The sequence below is a fragment of the Homo sapiens genome, chromosome 3 (assembly GCF_000001405.40).
Source record: "Homo sapiens chromosome 3, GRCh38.p14 Primary Assembly".
NCBI lineage: Eukaryota > Metazoa > Chordata > Mammalia > Primates > Hominidae > Homo > Homo sapiens.
Window position 1 is genome coordinate 114,340,670 of NC_000003.12, and position 24,283 is coordinate 114,364,952.

The window sequence follows — 24,283 nt, forward strand, 5'->3', positions numbered from 1 at the left end:
TGCGTGTTTGGTCCATCTCTACCACCTCATTCCTGACTGCCCAGTGTAGGCCCTCACCTCAGAGAAAAAAGTCCTTCCATGATCCAAACTAAAACTGAAAGCCTCTGAAACTCCTTAGGATAATATTTCAACATTTGGACTATGCATCAAGGTAAGAAGTCTTTTAAAATTTGAGCTAACTTCCACTTAAAATATATGCCTTGACTGTTTTTCATTTTTTCCCATTATGAAATAGGAGAGCTTTGATGTATTATGGTAATAGCAGCAATGAAAACAATCACCATGTATTGAGTGCTTACTATGAAGCAAGGTTGGTATTAAGTGCTGACTATGTAGCAGGGTTGGTATTAAGTGCTGTATGTTCATGATCCATTTTATTAAACTTTCTCTCATCAGGAATTTGTTGTTATTGTGTTTTCAAACATAAACAGATATGTTTTGAAGCACACTGACCAGACAGTATGCTGCGTAAGATCACATGGTTAGAAGATAATTTTACTTTTAGATTAAAACAGGAAAGGTTAGGGAAGCCTCATTGCTAATAATCTCAATTTGCTGAAGACTTCAGTCTATGCATAGTGTTTACATTGGTACCTTTTTTTTTTTTGAAGTAAGAGATTCCCTAAGAGAGACAGTCATGCATGTTTTTAGCTGAAACATTTCTGTCAGCTGTAAACATGCCTGGAAGTCAGCTGGTCTTTGCTATCCTCATGCTTTCAGACGATTTATAGAGGCTATGATAGGCTGGCCAACTATCATTTAAAACATGTCCACCTGTCACCTTTTATGGGAAGCGTGCCTTAAATTCCAGATGGTATTTTGGCTGCTAAGAAGTTGAAACTTCACCTATGTTAAAATGCTCTGCTGTTTGAAACTTTCACCTTCTGTGTGTTTTTCCTCGAGGCAAGGTCACTGATGAAGACTTTATTTTCACACTCTTCTAATCTGTCTATAAATTGATTCCTCATAGTTGTCATGTTTCTCTCTATAGCATATATAGGTATGTTGTTTGTGTGCATGTAGTATTGGTTCTACCATTAATTATCCATGTGACCCTGGGCTTTTTAAGTGTTTTCATTTCTCTGGGTTTATTTCATTTTCTGTATGTGAAGAGTTGGACCAGGCAGTTGCACATGGTCCTTTGTGGATTTAGTGGTCCTGAGTCCGTGGTGGACTGCAACCCCTGAGGACTCTAGTCCTGGCCTTGTCAGTGAATGACCCAAGGGCAACCTACTTAGTCACTGAATGCATTAACAGTCTCACATTTTAAATAAGACAAAGTATCCTGTTCCCTTCCCTGCCACAGAACAATGGTATGTTACTTAATAAAGAGAAATGTTTGCAAAGAACTTGGGAGCTCCTTAAAGGAAGGTGCTCTCTATAATTATTAAGGTGCTGTGATGGTGAAGTGTAGGTATTTCAGAAACTGTCTTACTAAATGGGGTATATTTTCAGATTAGTGAGGTGCTCACAACTTTCATTTCTGTATGAATTTGAAACGCAGTCACTCAGCAGGAATGAATGATTGTGTTTTAAGAAAATTTTTTTTCCCACTATTTTCTTGCATATTACTTACAGCAATCCCAAAATGGTTTTAGACATTATGCATAAAATGGATGAGGTCTGTCGATTGTTGCTCTCCAAGTAAAGAAACAAAAAGTGAAGATAAATGGTCAGAGATGGTTTTCCAGGTTTAAGCCTATGGTCAGGAATGGCAAGTCTGATTTGTCAGAAGGGGACACAAAGTAAAAAGTGGATAATTGAATTATAACATCAAGGGGAAGGTCATATAAGTTCCTTCACTTTAAATGATCCATTTTGGGCCTATACAGATGTAGGAGTCAGATATGAATTCCATTTCCTTGGCTGAGTGACTTGGGCATGTCATTTAACCTCTATAAGCCTCAGTTTCCTTATCTATAACTTGAGAATAATATAGTAAGTACCTGTCTCGTGAAGGCGTTTTGAAAATTGAAGAGATAAAGCACTTAGTACAGAGCATGTGGTCATTTTAAGAAAAATTAAACTGTTCCATTCATCACAAAGGAACCAAGGATAAATGAAACCAACTGCAAAATGACTTGCATGGCATATGGAAGTCAATCCTGAATTTTTAAAAAATTATTTCAGATAATCAGTAAAACAAGTGATTATATTGCAGCTATGTAATTCAGAGTTAAAGGTATCGTCTACTCTCTCAATTACATATGCGAATGGCAAGAAGTGGTATATGGATAAAATGTCAGCACAGAGCACAGACAGAGGATTTCCTAGGAAACCCGTGACTGAGCACTGGAGGCACAGAAACCAAACAGCAAGGGAAGAAACTGAGGGGGAGGCAGTGCCCTTTACTGCCTTGCCAAGGGTGTTGGGCGTGGTAAAAGTATACGTTTTTCTCAATTTTTCAATGCCTGCTCATCACCTTCTTCTCAAGGACCAGCTCTGACACTTAACTCTACCATGACTGAAAAGTGAAAAAAAAAAAAAAAGGAAGAAAGATCCTGCTTAGGTTAGAAGATGCAGAGGGTTCTGCCTGAAGCTCACAAAGTTCAAGTAAAAGCCATCCTAATGGGTAAAGACACCCCAATTTTGAATAGGAACCTCTTGCACTGGGGGCTCAGCAAGAACCCACTTATTCTACTGATTTTTTTCCCCTCATTTTAACCAAGGCTTCTCCTGAGCTGTGAAAAAGACAATGAATGCTGTTATCAGGAGATTTTTCAGAAGCACTGTTCCTACCTGACTCTCCTGTTCTCTCTGCCTCCCCATCATCTGCCCTAGTACAATGCCCTCCTCTTTCGTGAGTACAGTGATGGGTCAAAAAACCAAGACAGGGTGCTTGATGAGACAGCAGGCAGCAAGGAAGGAGGAGAAAGAGGAGAAGGTGGGTAGCAGAAGGTGGCCACTGGTGAGGAAAGCAGAAGGAACACTTGAAAGTCCAGGTCCTCTGAATGGGGAACATCAAGACACGACCAGAAAATGGGGAAGGTTCCATATTAACAATGGAAGTACATTCAGATGGAATCATATGGAGCTTTTACTGGCTGCAGAGTCTAGTCTCCGTCAAGAGACGTCTGTTTAAAAGGGGGCCCACACGGCTGGGCACCGTGGCTCACGCCTGTAATCCCTGTAACTTGGGAGGCTGAGGCAGGTGGATCACCTGAGGTCAGGAGGCCGAGACCGGCCTGACCAACATGGTGAAACCACATCTCTACTAAAAATACAAAAAATTAGCTGGGCATGGTGGTGGGCGCCTGTAATCCCAGCTACTCAGGAGGCTGAGGCAGGAGAATCACTTGAACCCGGGAGGTGGAGGTTGAAGTGAGCAGAGATGGCACCACTGCACTCCAGCCTGGGCAACAGAGTGAGACTCCATCTCAAAAAAAAAATGGGGGGCCCACACACCTGAGATATCAGCGGTGTGATTGCCTGCCAGCCTTTCTGTTCATTCCCTGGGATGTGATCCTGTTGCCAGCTTGGACTGTGAGGCTAAGAGGGACTGCCTATTGGGAACATGCTGCATTCACAAAATATCTGTGGCTTCAGTGACAACTAAGATATTTTAGTTTTAAGCAGAACTTTGGAGAGTTTCATCCATGCTACTTGACTTTTCTTAAAATTTTGTGAATAGAGTGGATATTAACATCCCCAGAAAATAGCATCTCCAAGTAGAGAGTTGTACTAACATCTTGAAGGTCATCTAAGAAGTCAGTAGCACCTGAGAGTATAATACTAGCCCAACCAGATTATCTTCCTCTCCCTTGTTAACAACTCCTTGTTCTCTGGATTATGCTGCAAAATGTATGATGCTACTATAACACATATTAATGGCTTTGATAGTTTTACAGCATTCATAATTAAGTGTTTTCACATAAATTATGTTATTCAATTCAAAGAGCAATCATGTAAAGTAAGTACTACAGATCTGAAAAACTGAGGCTTAGGTCAGTTACAGAACTTAGCCAAAGTGACTCAGCCAGAAAGTGGTAATATCATGGCCTTCTCACTCCAAGCCTTATACTTGTTACTTTACACCCACTGGCTTGATATAATTAATAGTCCAAGCTCCATATGAGGATTAACACATTATCTTCATATGACTATTATGGCCCAATCACCAACATTGTTATGCTACTATTGTTACTATGTCTATTTACACTGAATTCATGGCTGAAATAGCTGAACTTCTCAAAGTAATAAGCAAAATTACCGTATGTGCAGAGGATACCAATGGGCTAAAAACAGTCACCAGTGAACGGGCTGTTGATAATATGATTCAGAAAACGCCAAAATATTTATCTCTTGTGGGTAAAAAAAAAACACGAAAGTGTGAACACAGATATGTGTACAATATATTCTATAGCAAATAAAAAAAGAGAAAAAACAAAGAAATTTAAAACTCTTGCTGTGAAAAGAATGTATCTGTGTATAAGTCCCTTGAATTAAATTCTCCTGGAAAGCGTGTTCACATTTTAAAATTTTCTTTTATTTATTTTATTTCAATAGTTTTTGGAGATCAGGTGGTTTTCGGTGAATGTGCACATTGACCAAATGAATGGGCATGTGAAAGTGTGATATACATGTATATATACGTGTGTGAAATGTATGTCTCTGTGTGTGTGTGTTTCCGCTCTCACAGAGTTTACATTCTAAAGGGAAGGTGTAAAGATAATACATGATGATATGAATAATACAAGTCAGTCCTGCTAAATACCAGAAGGGATACATTTGCCATGTGACCTATGTAATTTGGAAGACTCAACTTACCTCATATGTGAGTGATTAGTTTCTGTGATATAATTTATCCACTACAAAATCAAGCTTTGATCCATAATTTTGATTTACTTTTTCTAAACAGATTCTTATTAGTGGAATTTTAAAAAATGTTATGTAACAAAAGCAACCTGATGCCATTCTTCTAATTACCCAGGCTCACCTCTCTAGGGAATTGATTCTCAACTTCAGCATGAACCAGGGCTTGTTACACAGATTTCTAGGCTCCATTGCCTGAGTTTCTGATTTAGGATGTCTGGGGTGGGGGTGAAGGGTGGGGGAACATAATTTGCATGCTGCTAGTGTAGGGATCACACTGCTCCAGGGTTATCTTTGAATTTGCCCTATTGCTTGCCTTCCACATCCATGTTGACACCAAGGCTTATCCTTCTTGTATTCTCTGTCTTTCCCTTTCATTTCCATTCCTTTATTTGACTTCTGCTTTTTTCTCTTGATGAAGGGGGTAGAGGGGAGCACTGCTTTCTTCCCTGACAGGATGGTTTGTATTATCTTTGTTTTTTTCTCTCTAATTCTGTTGCTTTCAAACATGCCCTTAACTCTTAGTTTCCTTTCTCACAACTTTTATGAAGCTGCAGTAAGTGAATGAAAGAAACTCCTAGAGATAAGGAAGTCCTCCGTGGTTTGTTTAGCAGTGGATAAAGAGTGGTTAGGTGAGCAATTTTCTTTTACTGTTATAAAAATTGTTAAGAAATAAAAAAATTCTTGTTATGAAGAATATTCAAGAGCAATCTAAGGAGTATAAAGGAGTTTCAGAGTTTAAATTCCAAAGAGGAAGGACACATGTCAAGCATGTATTATTCAGAGACAGGAAATAGAGCAAAGAAACTAAGTGTCTCCTGGGTAGTAGGGGCGAAAAGTAATAATGATGAGGATTTTTAATTTTTCTAATTAAGTAACACTTTGCCTCTTCTGAAAAGCTCTCACATGCATCATACGTTTACATCAAAAGGCAGAAAAAATCATTTTTATTTTAAACTCAAAGAAATAGACAGTTGTGAAATTAACTGATTTGTTGAAGGACACACAGGCATTTAGAGGAAACAAAACTGGATCCAAATCATCTAATTACAGTACAATCGTCTTTCATTTATGCCTCTACTTTAAATTTTTGGGTTATAATCACTATGAAATATGCTTTACAACTAAAGCTTCCTTGATTCTTAAAGGTAGAGCTTAGCTCCAAAGCCAATATGATGGACTACTTCTTTGTCTCAAACAGATTTTTTTTTTTTTTTTTTTTGATACAGAGTCCTGCTATGTTGCCCGGGGTGGAGTGCAGTGGTGTGATCTCCGCTCACTGTAACCTCTGCCTTCTGGGCTCAAGTGATCTTCCCATTTCAGCGTCCCAAGTAGCTGGAACTATAGGCATGCAGCACCATGCCTGGTTAATTTTTATAGTTTTTGTAGAGCTGGGGTCTTGCCAAGTTGTCCAGGCTGGTCTCAAACTCCTCGGCTCAAGTGATCCACCCACCTTTACCTCCCAAAGTCCTGGGATTACAGGCGTGAGCCACCATGCCTGGCCCCAAACACTTTCTTTCATGAATGTGGATCATTAACATAGAGCAGTACAAGATTTTAATTGGAATATGAATCTTATAATTTATTCTCTTCAGGTTTTTTTTTTTTTTTTTTTTTTTTTTTTTTTTTAAGAGATAGGTACCCAGGTTGGCCTCGAAACTCCTGGGCTCAAGTGATCTTCCCGCCTCAGCCTCCTGAGTATCTGGGACTATTGGTGTGTACCATCACACACAATTTATATCTGCAGTTGTTGAAAGCAACTACCATCTATATTAAACTTTGGAGTTACTGAATTGCTAAGACAGTTACTCTGCAGGTCTATTGGTTTGCATAGCAGCTGTAATGGAGAGAACTCAAATTTCTTTTTAACTTTGTCAAGCTATTCTTTTTTTTTAGGACTCTTTTTGGTTAGAGTATGGGTGGGAACACAGAGTCCAACTCTACTCTTACAAGTATCCCCGTGCTTTCTAGAATCTTTTTATACTAACATTTGGACTTTTTGCTTTGAATTTTTATCACTTCCACTGGGCTCTTGGAAAGTTTTGAGGCTCCATTTTTTTATGTTTTCCCTAGAAATTGAAAAGAACTTTGTTTGGAAATGCGAGCTACAATGAACCCAGGTCTTGAATTATTTCCACATGTTCCGGCTGTCTTGCTTTTTGAAATCTAGACCAATTGTTCTAAAACTTTGTTAGGTTAGGGGATCCTTCAGTTAGACAATAGTCTTGAAAGACTGATAGGATTTCCAAACTGCCACTGCCAAATAATTCTGGAATGAAAGGGAAGAGCATTACTTCTTTTAAATTAGGTGCCTGATTGATATATGCACATTATTATTTTCAGATGGGGCTATATTATACACACCATTACAATAACATTCATAATTTACTGAGGATGTTCATAATTTACTAGAAAACTGAAGTCCACATTTTAAGCATAACTCAGATTTATAAAATGACTCTACCTATAGCTTTTGCATCTGTGTCTGAGTGCACAAATCCTTTGCTGGTTTTCTTATGTCCAAATCTAGTTATCTCGGTTAACCACAGAATCCTTCAGTGAATCCATTGGAGAAATGTATTTATACATCACGAAGATACTTTTTGGTAGTACATTGAAAATTTTATGTTGCAAATTTAAAGACTTATTTTATTATGTGATCTAACAGAATGTGTGAATTTTACATCTGATAGGTCTACTTGAAGAGATGTACAGAGGGGAGAGCAGATATGTTTATGGATCCAAGACCAGCAAAGTCAACTTTGGTTAAGGAGATACTTTCACAGATGGTCCTTCCTGCACCCCTCCCCCATGTTCCTTAATTTAATGGCTTATAAATCAGCTATCCAGGGGAGGAAAGGATATAAACTATGTGACAGCACTCTATAAATCATAAGATGCTACAAAATAAAAACATTACTATTTGATTAATTCACCTAATAATGGTGATATCCATACCATATGGAAAATTTCTTGTGATTTACCTCTGGTTATTAGTACATTCACATTTATCCCAAGTAAACAAAGCAACTCACCACTACCCAAGTTTCTTCATAAATTCAGTAGTGAGTCACTCTGTTTATTTGGAAGTGTGAATACTGTGATCTTTAAAAACTGATTCTCATAAAAGTACATACATTAATTTACATAATGTCCTGACTTACATTACCCTGCAAAGAAGGCAAAGTTCATCTTAAGCAACGTTCTGTTTCAGTTGTACAATTCCATGTTTGATGCCTTGCCTCTATCTCTGTTGCTTTCCTTCCCTTCAGTCCCCAATCTAAACTTCACTGTTTTATGTCTTCTCTCTTGGATTCCTACTAGCTGATCTGAGAAACAAGGTTGTTTTGAGAAACTAATTTGTTTTCATGTATCAGAATTCGAGTATGTAACTTTTCCCTGGTAAATTATTTGTCATTTAATAAGGGTATTCTGAGGCCAGGCACAGTGGCTCATGCCTGTAATCTCATAACTTTGGGAGGCTGAGGCAGGCAGATGGCTTGAGCTCAGGAGTTTGAGACCATCTTAGGCAACATGGTAAGACCCTGTCTCTACAAAAAATAAAAAAGTTAAATGAGCGTGGTGGCATGTGCCTGTAGACCCAGCTACTTGGGAGGCTGAAGTGGGAGGATTGCTTCAGTCCGGGAGGTTGAGGCTGCAGTGAGCCGAGATCATGCTACTGCACTCCAGCCTGGGCGACAGAGTGAGACCCTGTCTCAAAAAAAAAAAAAAAAAAAAGAATTTCAAATATAATGATCATCACTGTTATAGGTATTCTTAGGTCCAAGAGAATCTAGGTGACATCACAATCGCTTATGTGCTCACTTATATGGAGGCACATCCATGGAATGCCCAATTCTATGGGAATTCCATATCTCTGTACCACTATGGAGCTATGAAAAAGGATTGGCTGAGAGATCAGAAGATCTTAGCTCTGGAATCATAGAATCCAGGGATGAAACATGATCTTGCCCATCTTGATGACTGAATCCTGTGTACAAAATCCCTAAAAATGTTCATCCATTCTCTCCTTGAATGCGTCTAATTACAGAAACTCACTCCATTTAAAGGCAGTCTATCTGATATTAGAGCAGATCTGATTGTTAACAAAATTTTTCTTTTATTTTGTGGAAAGGATCTCCTGATAGCATCCAATCATTGGTCTAGTTCCACCTTTTGGAGCCAAACTATACAAACTGAATGTCTCCTCCTCTTAACCATCTTAATAATAGCTACCACTTATAGAGCACTTATTATATGCTTGGAAGTACTCTAAAGACTTCACATGTATTAATTTATTCTCAAAACAGCACTATAAGGAAGGCGTATCACGATTATTCTCATTTTATACACAAGGAAACTGAAGTATAGACAAGTTAAGTAATTTTTCCAAGGCGACAAGGTTTAGTAGTAGCTAAGCCTGAATTTACACCCAGGCCATCTGGCTGGGTGTAAGAGCTCAAGCTCTTCCTGACTACAGTATGCTGCCTCTGAAACACAAATACTTGAATATGGCTTATATAATGACCTGAGTCTTCTCTTCTGCAGTCTGGACATCCCTAGGACATCCCTTCTCCATAAAGGGTTCCTGTGACGGTGTCTCTTGGTGGCAGGGTGCTTTGTTCTTATGATGGGAGGAACACAGTTGGGGTTTCTAGAAGAGGCTTGTGGTGGGGTCTGTTTAAAATCTGAAAGATGATCCCAAACCTTCCCTTCTACCTGCTCTCTTACCTTGCCTTCCCACAGCCCCCTCAGCCCCTGCTGCCAGGCCTCCAGGTGGGGTGACACTCACCTGTGTGTACGAACATGTGCTTGACGTAGTTCTGTTTGGCGGTGAAAGTCTTGTTGCAGAGAGTGCACTCATAAGGCTTTTTTTCGCCTTGCCCACTGGCTGTGCTGTGGCCTGCGGATGAGGCCAGGGGCTGTGGCGCTGGCAGCTGTGCAGTAAAGGTCGACAGACCGGGCTGGGACACTGTCACAAACTGGGTCTGCTGGCCTGCCAGGGGCTGTGGCAGGCTGAAGAGGAAAGGCTTGGGGCCACTGCCCGCGGGCTGGGTAGTGAAGAGGGCTGGCAGGTAGGTGTTGCCAGCTGTGCCAATGACCTGCGTGTTGCTGGTCAAGGTCAGAGGCATCCTCAGGTTGCTGGTGAGGGTTTCTGTCTGGCGTAAGTAGAGCTGGGTACTTGGCAATGGCTGCCCGATGGACGTGTTGACCGAAGGCTGTTGTAGGACGCTCTTGTCGGAGCTGTTGCTGACAGTGATAACAGTGCTGTCCATCTCCACTTCATTGCTTCTCTCCGGAGAGGAAGCACCTGTTTCTAGCTGGTTTGTCTGCGGACCACCCTCAGCGGGGGCTTCTGCAGCCTGCTCGGGTTGGGTGGGTTCAGCCTGGCTGTCCCGCGCCGCCCCAGGCCCAAACTGCTGCTCCACCGAGTCAGGCTCGGTGCCTATGGAGGAGCTGACGCCCGAGTCGAAGCTTTCACCTTTGGGCTCACTCTCGGTGCCCTCGGCCTGGTCTGTGTCTTCCGTGCACTCCTCGGATTCGTTGCGTTCCAGGATCTGCACCCTTTGCTGCCCGTAGTAGTCGTAATCGTCCTCCATCTCCTGCTTGATGTGGATGTTGCCCACTAGGGTCTGGATGCGCACAGGCCGGGGCTGCTTGCGGCAGTGCGTGGTCTCGGGGGTGGTGGACAGGTAGCGCTCCATCTGCTGCGAGCGCTCATGGATGCGTGTGATCCAGCTGGGGTCTTCCATGTGGTGGTCGCGGGGCAGGCCGAGCGCAGTCTCGTGGTGGCTGACCACTGCGCCGCTGTAAAAAGAGCGCTCGCCGCTGCCATTCTGCATGGAGCACGCGTAGAGTGCCGAGTAGATCCTGTCCACGCTGTGCTGTGGGTGGCTCTGCAGGTAGCCCGACTCCGTGTCGCTGCTCTGGCCTGACGTGCCTGACTCGGGAGTGCCCCGCGGCGTGTCCTGGCCCGAGTCCTGGATCCCCGGGAACACATCGCCCACGTTCTGTGACACGATGCGCGTGCACTCGTCGATGACTGTTTTGATCTGCAGGATGCTGGCGGCCGTGAGGATCTGCAGAGCTTCCGACTGCGAGACCCGTAGCACGCCGCTGTACATGAAGTCAATGAGCTTTTGCACTGACTGCACTGACACCACCGACGGGATCTCGATGTCGCTGTAGCCAAGCAGCAGTTTGTCCTGGAAGAAGGGGCTGCCGGCTGCCAGCACGCAGCGGTGTGCGCGCAGCATGCTCCCGTGGATGCGCACCGTTACGTCACAGAAGTGGCCACGGTTGCGCTGCTCGTTGAGGGTCTCGAGCACGGAATTGCTGAAGTTGTGAAGGTTGATGCTGTGAATGCGCTCGGTCATCCCCTTGCAACTGATGTCACCTGCAGCATGTCAACGCAGACACAAAACAGGGCATGGGTCAGATCTAGCTGGTTGCATTCCTAACACCTAGGTTTCAGGTGAGTAATGCTCATGGCTCCTAGAAGCACTGCCCTTACATACGCAAGTGGGGAGATGGACAGGCTGCGGCATACAAGCTGTAGGTACGATGACCTGAGGGAAAAGGACCTTGAATTTTGCTCCAATTCCGGCCTTTAGTGCCGCAGCCATTTTGGGTATCCATATTAACTCCCCAGAGCTTCGGCTGAGGTAGAGTGGCCTAATAACCAGATGATTTGTTTGCCTGCTATTCCTACAGCTTCAGCAAAGAACTGAAAGGCAAATGGAAGACTTGTTCTTATGGAACACTAAACCTCCACTTTATTTTTATTTATGTATTTATTTACTTTGCCTTCACTTTAGACAGGCCTAAGCCCAGATTCTTTGGGAAAGTTTACATTTCCCCCAACTTATCAAAGTCCCTTATTTTATTCATACACAGTGACCATATTCATAGTTAACAAATAAACCCCCTTCCTATTAAGTCATATGGCATATTATCAAAACCCACACCATGTATGCAAAAATTATTGGAAAATTCAACCCAGACTAAGATATCTACCAAACAGTCATGATCATGCTTTCCGGATGATGGATGGGCTACAGAAAGCAATCTGCTAGCTAAAGGGGCACTCCATGGCTGCTTTCTGTATCTACTCATTCTTCTTGTCATCTCTGACAACCTGTTTGAGCACTTTCTAGGGTGGTTGCATGTGATATGGAAGGTTTTCTGAATTTTCTGAGGCTTAATGAAGGAGGAATGTTAAAAAGGTCAGAGATGGCAGTTCTGACCCAGGAGACTACAGTACATTGGTGATCATATTTATTATGCAAACAGGGCACTTTCAAGAGTGAAAGAGAGCATTGTTAATAATTAGGCCAGGATAGCAGGAGTAAGCCAGAAGTGGGATATATGATCTCCTTGGGTAATAGGGTGCTTTATGTACTTGCCACAGGGAAGTATTAAACAGCTCCCAGGAGGAAGGCAACAGCTATGTGGAGGCTGCGGATAGCCTGACCCAGCGCCACCCTATAACGTAGGCTGTTATGGCAAGGGATACTATTGATAAGATTTGGATTCAGAATGAGAAAGAAAACAGGTGGCTACAGCAGTAGATCTTAGGGCTTTTCTATTTTTCTAGCTCATCTCTCAGATGGCTCTAGAGAATCCCCCTCCAAATAATTCTTCAATCAGATTCCCCATTCTTGCCTTTACAACTGAACAATCAGCTTGGGAAAGTGAAATAAGTGGGCTTTCAAAACCAAATGGCCCAAGCACTGATTGTTGGCCTGGACCCAAATCTCTCTGTCTTGTGAGAAGCCACCTGAGAGGTAACAGCCTGCAGATAGGAAGAAGGCCTACCTCCTCAAACTCTTTCCGCTCTACCTTGCGATAGAAGACTTGTTCAGGAAACTCTGAGTTCAATGAGCGTTTCTACCTTGCTTCACTCAATCACCCTCACATGGTATGAGCTTAACTTAATAAATGTTCAATAATACAATTTGCACTAATTTGTATAAGAGCATTCTTTCTCGTTCTGACTCTATCAGGTCTGTTATGTGCCTAAAATATTGTATTAGGCTACAGATTCCATCGTTTTTACTTATATAAGACAAGTTCTCTTTGCCAGATTAAAGAATTAAGGTAAATCCCCTGTAACCATGTGAACACAAAATATGGCCCCAAAAGAAGGCACAAATAACCCAGGAAGGGCTGTTCAGGAGCTCAATCAGCAGCAGACCAAATTTCAAGTTCTTGCTGAGTTCGCCATACATACATACCATGATAGTAATCACAAGATAACATTTTTTAGGGGTTACAGTTCTAACTGCTTTCTGTATATGATTTCATTTAATCTTACAGCAACCATGGGAAGTAGATGATATTATTCCCATTTTACAGATGAGGAAACTGAGGCCAGAGAAACTAAGAAACTTGCTCAAGTACACACAGGCAATTGCTGGTAGACTGGCATTTAAACCCAGGCAGTCTGGCTCTAGAGTTCACCCTCTTAACTGCTTCATTATATTGCATAGTTTGCCCTTTACTGAGGTCTGGCCCTTAGGGATCCACGGCTCTGTTGTAAAGCTGTGTGAAAGGCTTTGTCCACTACTACCTCCAGCTACTTCTATACCTATCCGTGATTTAGTGTGGCTTTTATGTTTTTAGGCTGTGATGCTTTGACATAGCCTCAGTTGTGTAACTTAAAGGACTTATTTTTTTAGATGTCACAGTGCAAGAAGTAAGACAACTAACTGGCACTATGGTTTAGGATTTTCTATATACAATTTTACTATAACCAAGGTCTCTTTCATTTAAGTAAAACAATAAGCAGTAAAACTGGTTGTGTCTGTGATCATCTCTGTGTAGGATGGATTTATTACAACATTTTTTTCTACACAAGTGAAAACACTCTTTAAACATACATTTGCTCATAACATTAGTTACAACAATAACACTAGAGATGTCATATATGACAGTTTTCTTTCAGATAATTCTGGGAAGTAGCCCTATCACAATTATCACAATAATTAGTATCCATGTAGTGTTTGACTGTGTATACAACTTTTTTACATGTAACATCTCATTTATTCCTTACAACAATCCTATGTGTGTTCTGAACAGGTTTTTTTTTGTTTTGTTTTGTTTGTTTTTTTTTTTTTTGACAGAGTCTTGCTCTGTTGCCCAGGCTGGAGTGCAGTGGCACAATCTCAGCTCACTGCAACCTTCAACTCCTGGGTTTAAGCGATTCTTGTGCCTCAGCCTCTCGAGTAGCTGGGATTACAGGCATGCACCACCACACCTGGCTAATTTTTGTATTTTTAGTAGATGAGTTTTCACCATGTTGGCCAGGCTGGTCTCAAACTCCTGACCTCAGGTGATCTGCCCGCCTCGGCCTCCCAAAGTGCTGGGATTACAGGCATGAGCCACTGTGCCCAGCCCTTCAGGACAAGTCTTATTATTGCTATTTCATATAAGAGAAAGTCGAGGCTCTCAAAATGTCTAAATGACTTGCCCAAAGTTTTGCACAGTAGCACATGGCAGTGTTGGGATTAGAAACTATGCCTCTTAAAGCTTTTTCCACTGCATAACAGTGGATCACTGAGGAATGGAACTTGAAGTGCCCAAAGATCGAGAGTTATCTTAATTCTCAGCAGAGAAAAAAGAAAGACACTGAAAGTAATGATGAAGGTTGCTTTAGAGATAAGAAATGAACACAGATAATCACACACACACACACAATTCCATGAGAAAAATCCAAACTGTTTGACCAGATTGGATTGCAAATTTTGTTCATCTAAACAATCAAGTTATCTACTGAATAGTCTGAGTTAAGACTCTTGCGATAATATTGCCACCAACTTCATTAAAAACCACAGAGACAAACCTAAACCTGCACACGTACACAACCTGATCTGACATGCCTGGTTGAATTTTATACACACAATTCTTAAATATCTCCCTGAGTACACTGGCCCCACACTGCAGTGAACAGCCATGAAAAGCTGAATCGTTTTTGCTGATATGAGTACAGATGCGAAGGGGGACCCTGCCTCCCCATTCAAGCATGCCTCATTCCTCCAGCACACAATGCTGAGGCAATTCCTTTCCCAGGCTTTCTTTTATTTTTAACACTAATACAGTGGGAAAAAGTTTCTGCCACAGCAAGGCAAAGTCCAGGCTTTTGTGAGCATGTCCTTTTCATCCAATGGGCATTAATGTATAGATTCCAATGGAATAAATCTGAAATACTCTACTGTAGAAGATTTGTCCCCCATTGAAAACAAATCTTGATTAGATGGTTATTCAGGGAGTGTATAGGAAGGAATGGTGTGAAAATGCTAACTCTATTCTTTCTTAGATTGGCACTGAATAGGCATTTGGGCTATTCAAGAAAAAAAAAACACACACACACACACCCAAACCCCAACCCTATCAACTGTACAAAACCACAAAACTTTACATAGATTATGTGATCATGTGTATTTGGGGATTCTTCCCCACCCAAAATAAAAAATGCACAGTGTTATGAACACAAAACTGATGGCAAAATGAAATAGTGATAAAAATAGTTCTCTGTGTTTTAAAATAATAACTTACCTCCTTTTTACTAGAGTAAAAATACAGAGTCAGCTTGTGATGGCATTCCCTCAAAACATGGAAGGAATTGCAGTAATGAAAGTCATCATGTATTCTAAGAGACTGTTCTGCGAGAGCACAACACAGACGGGGCTAAAGCAGGGGTGAGTACCGAAGGGAAAATCTGCCTGTGGGGAATTGGGGATAGAGGGCCTGACTCTCTGTTTTGCAGGAACGTTGCTCCTGCCTGTCCCTTAAGCTGCAGGGGTCCAGGGATAGGACTTAGCATGAGAATAAAAAGCTGCCTGCTCACAAGAGAAAATGAGCAAGAAAGGAAACAGCAGGCAATACAATCTCTTTTAATTAGGTGTGAAATCCAGTTCTTTCTCAATCAGGAGAGCAAAAGGATATATAAAATGAGACTAGTGCAAGGGTAAGATGCTACAGAGGGGGATGGGGATTTGAAGTCTCTGGACTTGGAAGGAAACATCAGCTCTCAAATGAAAACCAATATAAATTTCGGTCCAGTTAATAAGCCTAAGTCAAGTGGCAGGGCCAGAAAGCCCTTGAGCTTTCAATTTGGGGCACCAGATGAGGTTAGTGGGTCTTGCACATGAAACAGGGTGCAGCTTGCCAAGTTAGTCACACTAGGAAAGAGCCAGTCATCTCTGGAGAAAGGGGGGATGTATTTTGGTGACTGAGCCCCCTTATTCTCCAAACCCCCTGCCTGGGGTAAGACTTCAGTTACATGTACTTTACCTCCTCATATATGCCAAGGGAGTCCTGCTGAATCCCTGCACTATAGGAGGTATAGTAGTTTCTTGCTAACAGGTTCCATCCACAGCAAATGACTCTGCACCACCCCACTCTCTCTTTCTATCTCATTAGTATCATCACAGTCTTGGGAGGTGGCTGGGAGCACTGGAGAAATCACACATGCAAGTGGAAGGCAGCAAGCAGACAAGATCTCTTTCTCCTATCTTGGCTCTATATACCTAGCATATCCCAGCTGCTATTACCTCTGTAGTGAGACTAGGGAGGGTCATCAGCCTATGGGAGGGCGAGCTGTACAGTTTTACTTACCCATTCTTGGGTGAAAAGGGGGGTGTTTTGGGCCATCTCCCAATAAAGGTTCTCCTCTATCTTCCAGATTGTCTAAGCCCAGTGTGGAGGAACCATCAAGGATTTCAGCACGTTTTTTTAGCCATTGGTAACAGAATTCTTCACATAAAACATATATCAATTGTTGAAATTTGCAGAAATTTGACTTCGAACTTGCAGAAATTTGACTTTCAAACATGTTTGCAGGAATGGCTACCTATGAAAGTTGGGGACTAGCTGGATGTGCTTTTTTAGTCACTACTTATTATTTTATCTAGACAAAGATTAAAAATTACTAACTTGTTTACAGTATTTACAACACCATTCTATTTATGATCCCAATACTGTAATTGGGTATGCCTTTAATATTACCTGAATTTTTATTCATTCATAGAACATTTCTAGAGAATACTTAAAAGTATTTAAAGGTCCTTGGTTTTATGTTTGGGTTTTGGGGGGTATGTATAGTTTTTATAAATGGACATGTTTATACTTTTATAGGAATAAGGTCAGTGGCTTTCATCAAAATCTCAAAGGGGTCTGTGTTTTCCCCAAATTAAGAGCTGTGGATTGAGATTCAGGCATCCCTCTTTAAAATACTTGTAACTACTTTCCATAATCAAAGCTTCTAAAACTGATGCAAACTTTGTGATTGCATTACTCTGATGCATAAGGTCTGTTGAACTGATATTTTCCATTTACTTAAGTTGAGCTGATACTATTTTGTATGAGAAAGCAAACAATCTTGGCCAAAATGAGAAAAGTTACTTTTCAGAAGAGAAATATTTTTTAAAAAGATTGAAAGGGAAGAGAGAAATGTAGGTAACTACTAATATTAGCAGAAATCTGGATTATGACAGACATATAGTTTACAACTGTTGAAGCTAACTATTATTTAGCAAACTTTGTTTTACTCAGAGTAAGTCCCTTTTGACAGTTAAGACAAATCCACAGAAGAATTAGAAAACACCCTTTAACATCTTTTGACTGTTAAAAATTAGATATTGTGGTATAATTTGAATAAAAAATAAATATAAACTCAATATACACATCTAATCAGCCAAAAAAATAGTTTACTTGCAAGATCTATAGCACTTGTAATGGGGAGACTGCCTTTCTTTCTATTTTCCTCCTTCCCTTTCTTCCTTTTTGCTGTCATACCACGAAGTTTTACTAAGTTTGAAGTATGGGGAACAAAGAGGCAAAATTGAGAACTAGAAAAACATTTGCTCTGTGATTTTCAGGCCCATCCCCAAATCTTGACTTATCTTCCATTCCTGACTTCTTTTTCCTCTCTTCACTCCACCAAAAAATAAGAGCTTTATACTTTATCTAAGGCTGAGAATAGATTTACAGTACTAGTGGGATTTTACAGGTCCAAAGGAGAAAGTAATTCCAGAAAAGTCTTTTTACTTGGCCTTAGAGGTCTCACAGTCTCCCTTGGTTAGCCCAGGCCTTTGGCTTGCCTGATTTTATGTTAAGTCTGCTGTTCTCTCTAAGAAAGGATGAGGGCATGCCTATCCATATTGTAAAACTGTAAATACAACTGACTTATGAATGAAGCTGCTTTGGGGGTCACTTGAATTTTCACCAATTCATTAGTGAAACATTTACTGAGAATACCCCAGTATAAATGGAACCATAAGGATACAAAGGATCTTAAATCTAAATCAATAGAAGAAATTTATCCATAAGGATCTTTGATATTGGAAACATATATTAATCAATCAACTTCTCCCAGACCTCAGTGCTCAGGAAAAGCTGTGTTTTGCTTTTCTTTGTGGAGCCTGTGAATATCATAACTGATCATGTTTCCCTCTTGGCTCTGTTCACTAGGGAGCTCAGAATAAAAATTTAGGCCCCCTTTTAGCAACTATGTAGGACCTCATGGTATGCTTTTCTATGTAAAATTTTCACCAGCCTCATTATATTATCCATTCTTTATTTTACCTCTACTCTGATTTCTTTTTTTTTGTAGTTATATAGAAATACATTTCCTACATATTTATTAACAATTGAATATTAATTTAAGCTACCTCAAATCCCTTACTTATGAGGTGAGGGCATAATCAATCAATCAACAAGTAATTGAGCATCCACTTTATGAAACCAATTCCAACCATAAGTTAAAACTTCAGTCTTGAGTATTATCACACTATATGCTTTATGAATTTTTTATACTTTGAGCATCTGATTCCAATGAGGTAAACTGTTGAAATTTACTTTACAGTACAGTTTGTGAAAATTAAGTTTTACTCTGTGAATAAAGAATTGGATAGATAATTCCAGACAACATTCTGAAAGACACTTACGCCGTCATTCCAAAGTTGAAATGAAATGAGGGGGAGAAGACTTGCTGGGACTAAGGAAAAAAGTCAATGAAATCTGAGGTTGATGCCTTTAAATCCTCTTATATTGTAAACCTTTTGAGACACCTTTTAGGAGTTTCATTTTTTCTCTCTCTAAAGCGCTTTCCTTACAAATTTAGCTACTGCCCTATTGTAACCTTTTCCTTTGTTCACTAAATCTGGGGAACAAAAATACAGAGATGCTACATCCGTGGGTGGTATACAAAAATGAACCAAAGGATCTACTTAAATTCACAAATTTGTGCTGTTTGAACTTGGCTTTGAATAGACCTTAAAGAAGGATCTGTATATTCAATTGTACAGTTAATAAGTTAGGTCTTTTGTTTTGCTTAAGAAGCAATCACAAATTTAAAAATTGAGTATATGAAAACCAGCATCTTCTTACTTGATAATCTGTTCTTGTGGTCTCTACATAATCATATACTTATTTTATAGAAAAAACAGATTTATAAATTCAGTGAGTTCAAAGATTCAGTATAACTCTCAGGTATGGCATTTCTTTAAAGAATATCATCACACACTGATGAATTATAGTTAGGTAAGAAACTGATTTTTTGACTTTGGGAAAACTTTTCTCTGGACTTAAACGAGTGAGAAAACAGAACTCAATAGTGTCATTAAAAAAAAAAAAAGCTTTCTGGCAAAAAATATCATTGAGTTCCCAATTCATAGAACTTCCTTTAGTCCTCTGTTGCTGTGCTGTTCTGAAACTGCTTTTGAAGCAGGTCTTCAAATTCATGCTCAAATGTTCTCTTCCCTTGGGTCTTTCTAACAAATAAAAAAAAGTTGCTTCCAATGAGACCGCTGTTTTTCAAGAGTATCTCTGTTTGTTGGTAGGAGGGGAATGCAAGATTTTCTTTTTTTTTTTTTTTTTGAGACGGAGTCTTGTTCTGTCCCCTAGGCTGGAGTGCAGTGGCGCGATCTCCAGCTCACTGCAACCTCTGCCTCCTGGGTTCAAGTGATTCTCCTGCCTCAGCCTCCTGAGTAGCTGGGATTACAAGCGTGCTACCAAACTCGGCTAATTTTTTTTTTTTTTTGGTATTTTTAGTAGAGACGGTTTTCACTAAGTTGGTCAGGCTGGTCTCGAACTCCTTACCTTGTGATCTGCCCACCTTGGCCTCCCAAAGTGCTGGGATTACAGGCGTGAGCCACTGTGCCCGGCCAATTTCTCTATGGACTTGAGCCATGATAGATAAGTTCACTGAGGAGTAAAGACCTTCTATCCCAAAGCAACAGGGAAAAGCCAAGGAAAAAAGTAAATCTGTTTTGTTGGATGACTGGTTAAAATGGAAGCACTGAGATGATTTGTGTGGGCTAGGTTAAGAGAGTAGCTGAAATTCATCTGCGCACCTAGGGTATAGAACCAGGCACGGGAAATCATTAAAAAAAAGAATAGGACCTAAGTTCCTTTTTGGCTCATACTGAGATGAAGAATAAGTGCTGTCAGATAGAACTCAAAACCTTGGGAGGTTCTGGTAAATAAGTAAAGTAGAAGGCATACTTTATAATTATTTTAATCACAAGTAGGCATTTTATCTTTATGATATTCTTTATATAGTCTTTTGTATAATATTTATTATATTATTTACATATTGTCAAAAAAGACATTGAGCTATAGAAGTCTCCTATAGCTATAGCTAACATTCAAATTATCTGATTTCACTTCACTGATTTGGTTGGATTTGATTTTCTCTAAAATAAAATCTCTGTGCTAATCCAAAAGGTTGGCCATTTTGCTTTCCTGTGTGTGGATTACATTCATTTTTACTTCTCTTCTGCTGAATTTTCCGCAGTTCTGAAGTTATTGTGGTTTCTCTCCTCACCAATTCTTATCATCCCCATGAACCTTATTCAAACTTTTTCCTTTTCTGTGAAGCCTTCTGTGATTACTAGAGTTCACTTTTCTTGGTTTCCACTGGTTGGTGAGGTAATAAACTAAGACATTCATTTTTGGCTTGTTCTCACTGAATTAGAAAACTTTCTTAATGAGAAGGTATCTCCCCTTTCCTCCACCTGTAGGAATGAATGGCCAGGTTTTTGTATACTTTATAGGCTCCTTTGCCTCAGGGAGTTGTGGTTTCAGAGCCCATTAAGCCCTAAAGAATAAACCATAAAACAAAGAGTTTTCTTTCCTAATGTCTGTTCTCTAAAATGAATTATTAACCCAGAATGGGTAAGGAGAGTGAGGCTGATTGATGCTTTGGAGTTAGAGAATTGGATAGCATTACTGGAGAGAAAAACAATCCACTTTCCCTCAAATGCAGAAGGTAGCAAGGTCTCTACTTGCATACAGCTCCAGTTGGGGTAATTGCTTGGCACACTTCTGGAGGCTGGACATAAAAAGGCACCACTTTGAGAGGAACAGTGATCATCTGGGGGCTGGGCCAATGGTCAACAGCAAGGACCACTGTGGAGGGCATCTGTAAACCCAGCTAGTGCAGTAGTGCTGGCAGTCAGAAGGACGAGGCTCAATGGCATCTTTGTGGGGTGGTCAAGCAATGTCAATGTTGGAGACCATCATGGACTAAGGACTTAGATTTAATGAGTCTTGTACCAATCTAGGGATGAGAAGGGAGCCCCAAAACTTGTCTGTATTTCTTGCGAATTTGGTGACAGGGGCCTCAGGTTTAATTTTCTTTAGAAAAATACGGGAATTTTTTTGTACCTGAATGTTGAGGAGTGTTGGGGAAGTTCACCTGAACTTCCTATACATGTAGCACCTAAGTTAGTTCTTACCAATATATTATTGTTTCTTTTTTCATTTGTGTCTGTCTTATCTCTCTAAGACTCAAAGCCTCCCAAAGGCTAGTATCTTGTCTTGTTATAACCACAACTACAATGACAACTACAAATATGTAACTGGATCCCTCATTGTGCCCAGCATGTTTCTTTATAATGTGTGGGTTCTATGTGAGTGCTTGTTTGGTCAGCTCTTCGCTACACTTCACAAACAAGTGGGAACCTCAGGGCGCACATTTACTCTGAGATATGTCTATGTGATATGGTCCTGACAGGGCTTTTTTGCCCCTGAAGTTCTGTGTAATGCTCTTCTTCTTGTCCTTTATTTCCCTACCTACCCACAGTTCTATTTTCAATAGAATTTAAAGTCCAAGCAATTGTTTTATGTGTTCACTGAGTTGCCCACAAACTCTGCTCATTCATTTATGATTTCTGATACATGCCATGCTGTCTCTGTCTCCCTGATTCCATTTCCCCAGAGAGACAGCTCACTGGGTCCCCCTGTCAACAGAGGATTCAGTGGAACCCAAAGCTAAGCCATACTTTGTAATAAAAAATAAGAAGAGATGACCAATCTATGATGTGATAGAAAAATGATCAGGCCAAACTCCGATCACTTTTGCCTATGTTAGGGAAGCTAACCTGCTTGGTAACAGATGTTACAGAAATATCTATCAATCAGCATTGATAACAGGGTATTTATATGTACATTAACAGTAGTGTCAAGGATTGTTTAGAATATTTTCTCTTGGTGGCCACTGGGTGTCCTCATTTACAAAGTAAATATGCAATATTTAGTGAAGGTCACTGGAGAGAATAAAAGACACTAGTTTTCTCTTTGGCCCTTCACATACTGGGGATAAATTTATTGCTGAACTCACAAGCAGGTTATATATTAGTACAGTTTAAAAACCTTCAGGTCAAACTGTTAAAAGTTTATAACCAAGAGTAACTTATTCAGGGTCCAGACATGAATTTTAAAGGCTGTTTCCTCAACAGAGGGGACTGTGATCAGCTATTAGAATGATCCCTTATTCATTTGAAAATTGGCATGGGATTTTGACTATCTGCCGAGAGAGCCAGCAGAGAGGAGCAGAGAAGGTCTTAATTTATTCTTGAAAGAAAAGAGAACACCAAATATCTCTATGGGATATTTGTTAGATTCTGTTTTTATCTCACCTTTTCTGAAAACTAATTAAAAATAATAATGAGAAGATAAAATATGTCCTTTGCCTAGGAAACCTGAAATAATGTGAAAAACATTACAATGAGCTGGGTCAGTATACTGATTATCAATCATTTCACATTTGAAGACAAAGAATTAAACTATTCCTTTATGGACCTGTTATCCCACCTGTAAAACAAAGGTGTGTATGCTTCACAGGGATGTTGTAGGGACAAATAGAATATGAGGCACACAAGGTTCCTAGGAAGAGAAACTGTACATGAGATAGATTTAGGGCATTACTAGTATTCTAATTGAGGCTGAGTCACAGTTGTATATGACTTGTTCCTGCTGGAAGACAGTAGTCAAGGCCAGAGCTCACACAGCCAACAAATATGTTCTGATTTGCTGCTCTCAGACACTGAGTCTGACACACTGCTCAGCAATCACTTACTGCTCCCTAAAGTGGTATTTTGCATTTCTAGGATTGTCATTGTCTCTAAATTTATACTTATATACATCGCTGATGAGGTTCTTCCCTTGCAAAAAGAAATTTCAGCCTTCCTCCAATTCAAGATACAGGCCTACTATTGAATACATAACAGTACATGGCCTTCAAATGTCATGCCTAGCCAATTAGCTAATCCTTTCCCAAAATAAACTTCACTGTAATATTTTTTTTTTCACTAGCATACATCCCCAGCTTAATTACTATTCTCTGGCATGTTATTTCAGTACATAAATTATCAATATGATTTTGTGTCAAAACCAACAATTTGACCAGGCATGTTGGCTCACACCTGCAATCCCAGCACTTTGGGAGGCTGAGGTAGGTGGATCACTTGAGTTTAGGAGTTTGAGACCAGCCTAGCCAACATGGTGAAACCTCGTCTCTTCTAAAAATACAAAATTAGCTGGGCATGGTGGCGCATGCCTATAATTCGAGCTACTCAGGAGGCTAAGGCAGGAGAATAATTTGAACCCTGGAGGCGGAGGTTGCAGTGAGCTGAGATCATGCCACTGCACTCCAGCCTAGGCAACAGAGTGAGACTCTGTCTCAAACAAACAAACAAACATCCCCCAACAATTTATGCAAACAACATCAGGGAAGCTAGGAAGCTCTATGAGCTATTCTCTGCCGTTCAGATATGTTCGATTGTCTTACTAGCTGAGCTTAACAGCCTTTTCTGTTTTTAAAGGACCACCATGCATGCCTCTAGTACAGCAATCTCTAACACTTAATCAACAGTTACGTCTACAGCAATACACAATAGCCAGGTCACTTTCACCCTGAGATTATACTAAAGGCTCACAATATGCTCAGAGTGTATGGAAAAGTGTCTCATTTCTTCTAAAGATCCTTAAATTCCTTGCTTTTATAGTATTATCCAACTGATTAATTAGTAGATTCATTTTTCAACTACTGTAGCCCCAAAGATACATATCGGCAGAGCCCTCCTGATTGTATTTTACCCTTGGCCTTTTCTCCTTTTAGTTTCCTCAGTTTGCACCTGTAATTTCACTTTTAGAACTTCTCTAGGCTCGGTGGCTAAACACCACA

At 40.4% G+C, this 24,283-nt stretch overlaps 1 protein-coding gene and 1 long non-coding RNA gene across 19 annotated transcripts in view, besides 1 other annotated feature; one reads left to right on the plus strand and one right to left on the minus strand.

Moving 5' to 3' along the window:
* Positions 1 to 24,283, minus strand: part of ZBTB20 (zinc finger and BTB domain containing 20) — an 832,789-nt gene that overhangs the window by 26,170 nt on the left and 782,336 nt on the right. For 17 of the 18 annotated variants that reach the window (NM_015642.7, NM_001348801.3, NM_001348800.3 and 14 more), the window contains one exon: positions 9,605 to 11,209. The exons of the other annotated variant lie outside the window; for it this stretch is intronic. In NM_015642.7, the coding sequence (NP_056457.3) occupies positions 9,605 to 11,189 (1,585 nt within the window). In that variant the 5' untranslated portion in view covers positions 11,190 to 11,209. The remainder of the gene's footprint in view (positions 1 to 9,604; positions 11,210 to 24,283) is intronic. 18 annotated transcript variants of the gene reach the window in all.
* Positions 11,142 to 24,283, plus strand: part of ZBTB20-AS1 (ZBTB20 antisense RNA 1) — a 37,168-nt gene continuing 24,026 nt past the window's right edge. The window contains exons 1-4 of the long non-coding RNA NR_038993.1: positions 11,142 to 11,287; positions 15,384 to 15,512; positions 16,499 to 16,558; positions 18,680 to 18,839. This is a non-coding gene — a long non-coding RNA (ZBTB20 antisense RNA 1). The remainder of the gene's footprint in view (positions 11,288 to 15,383; positions 15,513 to 16,498; positions 16,559 to 18,679; positions 18,840 to 24,283) is intronic.
* Positions 15,343 to 15,984: an enhancer, noted in NCBI's record as "OCT4-NANOG-H3K27ac-H3K4me1 hESC enhancer chr3:114074859-114075500 (GRCh37/hg19 assembly coordinates)". NCBI's record gives its function as "activates a minimal SCP1, AML or CMV promoter by ChIP-STARR-seq in naive H9 embryonic stem cells {active_cell/tissue: H9 hESC(naive)}" and the evidence as "EXISTENCE:reporter gene assay evidence [ECO:0000049][PMID:30033119]".